This window comes from Homo sapiens, chromosome 9 (genome assembly GCF_000001405.40).
Source record: "Homo sapiens chromosome 9, GRCh38.p14 Primary Assembly".
NCBI lineage: Eukaryota > Metazoa > Chordata > Mammalia > Primates > Hominidae > Homo > Homo sapiens.
The window spans coordinates 114,692,074-114,701,285 of NC_000009.12; the positions used below are offsets into that span (position 1 = coordinate 114,692,074).

General features: G+C 44.8%; 1 long non-coding RNA gene across 2 annotated transcripts, besides 3 other annotated features; it reads left to right on the plus strand.

The window, feature by feature from the left end:
• The first annotated feature begins 3,776 nt into the window (after positions 1-3,776).
• On the plus strand, positions 3,777-8,118 carry LOC105376231 (uncharacterized). Of its 2 annotated transcripts, XR_001746578.2 has the most exons (4): positions 4,535-5,315; positions 5,841-5,921; positions 6,325-6,376; positions 7,883-8,118. It is a non-coding gene; the product is annotated as an uncharacterized LOC105376231 (long non-coding RNA). The 2 variants fall into 2 exon arrangements; XR_007061745.1 differs by having other exon boundaries at positions 3,777-6,376.
• Positions 4,868-4,917: an enhancer, noted in NCBI's record as "active region_28876". NCBI's record gives its function as "activates an Ori minimal core promoter by ATAC-STARR-seq in GM12878 lymphoblastoid cells {active_cell/tissue: GM12878}" and the evidence as "EXISTENCE:reporter gene assay evidence [ECO:0000049][PMID:35858748]".
• Positions 4,928-5,047: an enhancer, noted in NCBI's record as "active region_28877". NCBI's record gives its function as "activates an Ori minimal core promoter by ATAC-STARR-seq in GM12878 lymphoblastoid cells {active_cell/tissue: GM12878}" and the evidence as "EXISTENCE:reporter gene assay evidence [ECO:0000049][PMID:35858748]".
• Positions 6,033-6,232: an enhancer, noted in NCBI's record as "active region_28878". NCBI's record gives its function as "activates an Ori minimal core promoter by ATAC-STARR-seq in GM12878 lymphoblastoid cells {active_cell/tissue: GM12878}" and the evidence as "EXISTENCE:reporter gene assay evidence [ECO:0000049][PMID:35858748]".
• Positions 8,119-9,212: the final 1,094 nt, after the last annotated feature.

The window sequence follows — 9,212 nt, forward strand, 5'->3', positions numbered from 1 at the left end:
TATGGCTCACTGCAGTCTCTTCTTCCCTGGCTCAAGTGGTCCTCCCACCTCAGCCTCCTGGGTAGCTGGAACTAAAGGCATGCACCAGCACACTGGGCTAATTTTTTCTATTTTTTGTAGAGGTGGAGTCTCACTATGGTGCCTAGGCTGGTCTCTAACTCTGGGACTCAAGCAATTCTCCCACCTCAGCCTCCCAAAGTGCTGGGATTATAGGCTTGAGCTGCTGCGCTTGGCCAGAGGAGATTATTTCTTAAGATTGTTCTGATGAAACCCTAAAAAGTGAAATCAACATTCTCAGAAACCAATAAAATAAGACAAATCTTCTGGCTTTGGCAGGGATGTGGGAAACTTACAGGAAAAATTATGGGTTTGCCAATGAAAATCATCTAGACACTGTGGGTTAAGGAATCTGTGGGACCACCTTGCCCAAATATATGCAGGAATCATTTTATTGATTGATTGATTGATTGATTTTTGAGCCTGAGTCTCCTGTCGCCCAGACTGAAGCTCAGTGATGTTATCTTGGCTCACTGCAACCTCCACCCTTGGGGTTCAAGTGATTCTACTGCCTCAGCCTCCTGAGTAGCTGGGATTACAGGTGCCTGCCACCACGTCTGGCTACTTTTTGTATTTTTAGTAGAGACAGGGTTTCACCATGTTGTTCAGGCTGGTCTCAAACTCCTGACCTCAAGAGATCCGCCCGTTCGGCCTCCCAAACTGCTGGGATTACAGGCGTTAGCCACTGTGCCTGACTGGCAGAAATCATTTTAAGGAAAGTAAGCATAATAGTAACATTTGTGACATTAACTATGTGTAAGACACTGTGCCAAGTGCTTTGCTGTGGAGACAACTATCTAAGATGAAATCCCAGCTCACCGTATGTTAGCTGTGTGACCTTAGATGACTTATGTGGCTTCTCTGAGCTTCAGTGTCCATGCCTGTAAGTGGCATGGTAATGCCTAATGGCTTTTTGAGGATGCATTGAAACATTGAACTCAAAGTTTTAAGCACAGAGTAAACACTCAATACCTAATGTTGCTGTTTTGTTGTTATAATTCATGCATTTCTTACAAAATTCAGGACAGTCGTGAATTTTGTGGCAGATAGAGCATTCTGAGGGCCCTGGGCTTCAGTGCTATTTTGAATTTTTTTTTTCCTCAAGGGGAGAGATAAGTACACTTGAGGTTTAGAGTAAAAGTAAGAGGATTCTTGAGTTGTAAATTACGTAAGTCTGATTTATCAAATATAAAGTGGGAAGTTTCTTTCATTGCAGAACTATAAAGATTTATAGGACTTTTAGAAAGCTGTAATTACACTCTGAGTAAAGGTTTCTTTCCTCTTTATAAAGTACACATATGGGCTATGTAATTTGATGATGGTAAATTAAAATGTAGTTTTCTCTATTCCTACTCCAAACAGGACCATATAAATGTTGCCTGGCTGGATTTTGACTATCAGACCACTCCCTTTCCATATCTTTTTGGGTCTCTGCTTCCTTAGATGGAGTCCCAGGCAGGAGTTGAGCAACATAATTGGATCTTTGTTCTCTGACCTCTACTGGGTGCTTGAGGGTTATAGCTAGAGGCCTTAATGGACTAGATGCCTGCACCAGACAGCTGCTTCTATGTAACTTGAAAAGCAGCAAGAGCGAGCCCAGGCAGATCTTTTTCCAACACAAGTTTCTGCTAGGTGTTGGCCTTTTTGTTCACTAAATAGCTTCAGACTGAAGGGGCAATGTCACCTAGGTGTGTAAATAGGTTCATCTTTGCTAGCATCTGATGGAAGGCCAACCCCTTCAAAATCTTCACTTTGATTTCTAGCAAGGAAAGAGCCAGGAGGAGCTTAAGAGCCCATGCGGACTAACTCTCCCTTGCTCCCACTGTATAGATAGGAACACTGAGGTCCCCGAGAAGGAAACATTTTGCCCACGGTCACAAGTTGAGTCCCTGGTTGAGCTGCGATATGGACCTACGTCTGTTTGATCCCAAACCTGTCTGCACTTGCAGCAAGACTTCTAATTGTTTCCCAGTTTCCTTTCACCACTTCTCCCTTAATAATAGAACTTGCAATTTGTGGCTGGAAATGTAACTGTCTGGAATAAAGACCATTATTTTCCAATCTTCTCTGCAGTGGAGGCAGCTGTGAGACTGAGTTCTTGCCAATGACAAATAACTGATAGCATCCTATGTGACTTCTGGAAACATTCTTTTGTCCTTCCTCCTTCCTGCTAGCTGGAATGTAGAGGTGATTTATTGCCACAATAATGCTTAGTAATAAATACAAAACCTCAGTGGCTTATGGCAATGCCTGTTTCTTGCTCTTGTGCCCGGGATGGCCGGCCAGTTCTGCTGAAATTGGTTGGGGTTGGTCATACATCAGGGCAGTTGGCTGGCTACTGGATGGTCTATAATGGGCATGGCTGGGACAACTGGGTGACTTGACCCTGGTTCATGTCTCTCATCTTCCAGCAGGCTGGCTTATGCCCATGGAAGAGGCTACAAGGGATAAATAGGAACATGCTAGTAATTTTTCTTGCCTCTGCTTGTGCCATGTTCTCTGATTTTCTGCTGGCTAAAACAAGAAACATGGCTAGGGCCCAGAGACAGAGTAGGAGGACACCTCACTTTTATATCTATGTCATGGGTGTAGGGTAGAAGGAAAGCTGGGGCCTTAATGGATCCAATCTATTGTTGATGGATGACTGAATGAATGGAGGGATGGATGGAAAGGCAGCGAAAAAAGGCAGACAGGGGAGGAAGTTCTCTTGACCGTGTCCAATACAGGGGGAAAGTAAGCACTAGAGAGCAGTTTCCCATGGCTCTACGGTTCTCTGAGACCCTCCTGGCTTGGAGACTGCGCATGGCACACGGGGGTGCTTGGAGCTTGTGGGGTGTTTATTTCATGACTTGCTTCTCTGTTGGGGAACCTTTGCTTCTGAGTGAGTCATTGCGAAAGGCTTCTTAAGCTTCACTTTCAGGTTGGGAAGAGTCTATTTTGGAGATGAGAAGCCTTTTCAGAGGTCCTGAGCTTATAACATGAAAACAGTTGTGCTGTGGCCTGAGAACTGAACTGAGAAGCAAGGGACATGTGTTTCAGTCCCACCTCTGCCAACTCAGGAAAAAAACAAAAGCAAACCAAGAACAAAACACATCAGAAGTAGGAATCTCTCTTGGGCAATTTCTAAGTACTATAGAACTTGTCAGCAAGAGAGAAGGCCAAGGAAAAAGTTTTGTTGTTGTTGTTGTTTGTTTTTTTTTTGAGACTAAGTCTTGCTCTGTCACCCAGTCTGGAGTGCAGTGGCATGAACTTGGCTCACTGCAACCTCTGCCTCCCAGGCTCAAGGCATCCTCCTGCCTCAGCCTCCTGAGTAGCTGGGATTATAGGCACCCACCACCATGCCTGGCTAATTTTTTTTTTTTTTGTATTTTTAATAGAGACAGGGTTTTACCATGTTGATCAGGCTGGTCTTGAACTCCTGACCTCAAGTGATCCACCCACCTCAGCCTCCCAAAGTGCTGGGATTACAGGTGTTAGCCACTGTGCTCAGCCAGAAAAAGTTTTAAGAATTCATTTTTTTTTTTTTTTTTTTTTTTTTTTGAGACAGAGTCTCGCTCTGTTGCCCAGGCTCTGGAGTGCAGTGGCATGATCCCGGCTTACTGCATTTTAACCCAGGCTTCATGGTTCTTTGAGCTTCTGATAATATATTTTTTAAATAAGATACAAATTTTAAAGGAGATAAAACTAAGGTTGATAATTGAGTTTTCCTTTTTTTTTTTTTTTCAATTCAAGAGCAGGTACTGTTTATTAACTGACCAGATTAGAAAAATAATCATGGTAGACATCTTCATTTATTCTTCTAAGAAGGCTGTTGATCTGGTCCCCCCTGTTGTCAGCATTTCCACCTTCTACAAAATGGGTGGTCTTTTTCTTCATTCCACCTTCTGGAGAGGATGGTTTGGAGGGCCACAGGAAGTTACTTGCTTGTTTGAAGCATTTTCCAACAGTATAGATCTCATGAATCAGATCTTCCGTGCAGATGATACCATATTTACCAAGAGATTGAGCAATCAAAGTGTTACCTGTCAAAGCAATTCGCTTCTTATTGATTTTGCCATAACCACACTTACAGATTAGTTCATTTACTGACTTCAGATTTGGCTACCCACATGCAATATATGGTTCTACAATCCTCAGCATGTTAATTGAAGATGTGTTGAGCTTCACAAAGGTTCCATTGAAGATTTTATTTATTTATTTATTTAGAGATGGAGTCTCGCTCTGTCACCCAGGCTGGAGTGCAGTGGTGCAATCTCGGCTCACTGCAAGCTCCACTTCCCGGGTTCACGCCATTCTCCTGCCTCAGCCTCCTGAGTAGTTGGGATTACAGGCGTGTACCACCACACCTGGCTAAATTTGGGATTTTTAGTAGAGACAGTGTTTCGCCGTGTTGGTGAGGCTGGTCTCGAACTCCTGACCTCAGATGATCCACCCACGTCGGCCTCCCAAAGTGTTGGGATTATAGGTGTGAGCCACTGTGCCTGGCAGGGTCTACATTTTTATCAGTTCTGGAAGAGCCAGGATTTTGCCTTTATTAGGTTTGCCATTTCACCCGGTAGAAGGTGGAGAACTAAATCCCAGGAGCTTTGGGGGTCCCTTCCTGCTCTGACTTTGGGTGGTTTTGCAAGGTTCACTCCCAGAGAAAGGGAAAGGTCCCATTATCACATGGTGGTGTGAATCGGAATAAGACAACAGCAAAAAACAACTCCCACCATCCCCCAACTTTTACTATCTCTGGGGCCTCTTCTGAATCTCTCTGCAGAGAGAGATCAGGGATGCCCCGAAATTGAGATTGTGGTCGAGGACTGAGACCAAGTTATTCACAACATGGTTATATAATGGATGCTCAGTCATATCAGGACTCAGAAGATGTGAAGGGCCCCGCCCTGCAAGCTGTTTGAAGGTCATGATGGCTTCGCAGTGATGGGAAACAAGGCCAGTGTCTCTGTTTGTGGGTTCCCTGCACCAAGGGTATAATTCACTGGGGCTCTTCCCACCATGGCCTGGCCATGTCTCCACCCACCCACCCACCACCTGACTCCTGGAGAATGGGGGGGAAACTTTTATACTTAATTTTTTTTTGTCTTCTCCTCTTTTTCTGTGTTTTCTTCAAATTTGTTATAAGGGGGCAGCTTGGCAGAGGAAATGTGGTAGTGGCCTGAGGCCTTGGGGCTGAAAGAGCCCGGGGTCTGAAATCATCAGAATTGTCTCCAGATGAATTGAAACTGAGATGGAAAGCAGCATATGACTCATCGTGGGTAAGAAGCCACAGTCTTTTTTGTATGATTGTAACCCCCGGCCAAGTGAAAGCAGAATGACCCCTGTCTCTTCTTTGGGGTCACACAGCTACTCAGGAGGGTGAGAGAAAATGATGTCTATGAAGCACCTGCTATGGGATAGGCATTCTATCTAAACCTGTCCCATTTAAACCTGACAATGCACAGTGAGGGAGGTGTGAGTACCACCCCTGTTTTGTAGATGTGGCTCAAGGAAGGTAAAGAACACATCTTAGGGGAGAGGTTTCTGGTAGTCACTCTCCCTAGACCAGAGAGAATAAGTAATCCCTTGGTACCCTCCATTTTTCAGCCCCTCTGCCTTAAAAAGTGTGTGCTATAGAAGGGGAGGTGTCATGTCCACTCTGCTCTGTGTCTTTAGGAAAATCCCCTTTCCTCTCTGGTCTATTTCTGCTTCTGTAAAATAAAGTCTTTGGTATGAGGTCTTTTTGTGCTCAAGGATTCTATATTTCATGCCCACTTCTTACTGCTCACTTTCATTTTCCCTAGCTCCAGGATAGGCCATATCACTTCCTGGAAAGTTCTGTCCATTCCCATGCTCCCATGGACAACTGAGAGTGAGGACATAAGGTGATTGGGATAAGATCTTGATATTGTAGGAAAAATGGTGAATGACTTTGAAATGGACCGAAAAGATGACTGGGTGTCTTCATCAGAAAACTAGGTGTTTCTATGGGGCCTCTGGGCCTTTCGTTGCCTTTGAACTGTTTCAGAACTGTAAGTTGTAGATGACTGAGAGTGATGCAAATGGTTCTTGTCCGTAGATATGCAAATACATTTTCTGGTGGTAATACAATTGTCTTACCACATCTCCTGTGGAATAAACCAGTTTTGCATCTTTATTCATTTCAGTATTTCTTGCTTGTGTATATGTGGTTCTTGGAATTATCCTTGCAACTAGATGTGACGTCCTACTAGTTCTCTCACAAATTAATGAGCTAAATCATTGATATGCAATTCTTTGATATTTCAGTGAGTGTTATGATTATGTGCTCTTCTAGCAATTATCCTTTAATGGTATATAGGTAAGTATAATCCAATTCTATTTGGCATTGTTGGTGGGTAAAGGATGATGGTGGGGTATGTTAACATAAACCTTCCTATGTATTTCAGCCTGGAGGCTGCTTTTCTGGCCCAAACCGTTTTTCATGACACCCTCCCTCCCGGCAGGCTTCCTATGGCTTCTGCTTATCCTGTGTGCTACCACTGCTCTGGGATCCCGGGCTTCTCTCTCTGCGTTTCCTGGAGGGGAATCTATTCTCCCCAGCTCCCTACTTCTAAGCTACCCTAGAAGCTTTGCTAGCCTACTACCTACATCTGTGTTCAGATTTGACTTATCATCATTTGGGGGGAATAAATACCTACCGTGGGGCAGTGATAAGAGTTCAGCTATGTTGCACGTGTCTGAGGTTACTGACCTGCAGTCATTCCAGGTACTAACGGGTGCCTGTGCCTACTCCATCTTCATTTATGAGAGTGGGACTCTCCCAACACCTGGCAAGGTGGTGGAATCCTCTACTACTTGGAAACAAAATATGGGCCTAAAGAGCCCAGATTTCCACTGTCCATGGGATAACACTCAAGTTAATCAATCCCATTTTATTTGCATCACAAAGGACAGTTACAATCAGCTAACATTGGGTTAGGAGAATATCCCAAACCAAAAGGAAGGGGTAGAACAGAGTCCTCCCTCACTCAGATCCTCTCTTTGACCAAGGTCACAAACTTCTACAACAGCCAATGTTGGGGGAAGCTGGCCATCTAGAGTCAAAGTGAAGAGTACAGCTAGAGGCGAACATCCAACCAGTGCAGAATGTTAGGTGTCTCTACTTTTCAGAGCAGGTGATGAGACTTGCTGAGGCCTTCAGTGTTGCCTGGAATGATATTCTCTAGAAATTTCCTCGCTAGTGCTTTACTATTTACACAATCTACTTCCATCCATTCTGAGTTGAGCCTACAATGACTCCTTGAGCTACGCAGGAAAAACTTGATTATCCTCCACCTTACACATGAGGGATGTGAACTTCAGAGAGAAGTGACTTGCCCAAGGTGGGTGTGGCAGGAAAAGAACCGGAGCCGGGACATGACAGACCTGGCACATCTCATTCTACTTTTCACTTTGACTCTAGACAGCCAGCTTCCCCCAACTTTGGGTGTTACAGAAGTTTGTGACTTTGGTCAAAAAGAGGATCTGAGTGAGAGAAGAGAACTCTGTTCTACCCCTTCCTTTCTGTTTGGGATAGTCTCCTAACTCATTGTTAGCTGATAGTAACCATCCTTTGTAATGCAAATAAAATGGGATTGATTGACTTGAATGTTATCTCATGGGCAGTGGAAGCCCTGGGGATCTCCTAAGCTCTCTCTCTCTCTGGTAGTGACACAGGCAGGAGGGCAGGGTCCCTGGTGAGGGCTCCACCCTCAAGCCTGGACCTATGGCCCTAAATGAGAACAAGTATTCCTATTTTTGTGCCTGAATGTTGCCTTTCCAAGACCAGTCTGGCCCACTCCACCCCTTATCCTATGCCTGTAAGAACCCCAAATCCCAGGCTCCATGAGCAGCAGAGCAGCAGAGTGGCACAGCAGAGGAGAGAAGAAGCATCTGAACGTGGTGAGGAGTTTGGCTATGGACAGTCAGAAAGGAGTTCATCCTGGGACGGCTGAACTCCAGGGGAAGATTATCTTCCCATTGCATCCCCTTTCCAGCTCCCTATGCCACTGAAAGCCACCCTGTCACTCAATAAAAACTCCGCATTCATCACCTTTCAAACTGTTCGTGTGACCTGATTCTTTCTGAACACTGGACAAGAATTTGGGACCCACTGGGTGTGGGAACCTCAAAAGGCTGTCACACTGGCCCTTTGCCCTTGTTGGCAGGGGGCAGCTGCTCTATACGATGAGGCAAAAGGGCCACTGAGCTGGTAACATGCCCTCTGGGGCTCAGGGGTTGCAGGCACCCCATCCTGGATGGCAGAGCTAAAAGAGAATTGTAATATGCTTTGATGCAGCCATGAGGCCTATACAGGGCCTGCTCCTGCTGGAAAGAATGGCTGGGGGTTCCAGCCTTTTTTTCTCTGGTTCCTGCACCCATCTGCTCATGTGCTCCCTCCTGTAAGGGATGGAGCATGGTAGCCGAGTAAACAAGCCACCCCCTTCATGAGGGGTCCCATGAAGGGGTCAAGGGAATTGTCCCATTTCAGTAGGATCTGCTAGAATACATATAACTGCAGGTAAATGTATTGATTTACAGTGATTTAAAAATTAGGCATTTATTTCTCTTATATAACATGGAGTCTGAAGACATGTGGCTCAACACTGAGTAGAGATTCTAGGAATGTCTCACTTTAGCTGTCTAATAAGGTCATCACTAGCCACAGGTGGCTATTTAAATTGAGATGAATTAAAATTAAAGAAAAATGGAAAAGAATCCAGTTCCTCCTTCCCACTAGCAACATTACAAGTGGCCAGTGGCTACTGTGCTGGGTCAGTGCAAATGTAGAACATTTCCATCATGGGGGGAAGTTCTGGTGAGTGTCAGCAAGAAGGCTCCTGCTGGAGGTATCGTGTATCTGTTCAAAGAAGAAAGGAAGAAGCTGATGCTGTTAGCCATGTTTGTTCCTTTTTATTAAAAAAGAAACACTATTTTAGAATTCCTACAAGGCTTCTGTCAGTATCTTATCAACCAGAACCATGTCAAGTGGCCCTTCTGAGCTGCGAGGAAAACTGGGAAAATGAGAATCTTGAATAGGGCTGGAAATTTTGAGACACTAAAAGAATTGGGGTGTGGATAGCCAGAAGGAAGAGAGAAGGATATTGGGCAGGAGACACTGCACTGGGAGAGGTTTATATTTTCCTGGCCACCTC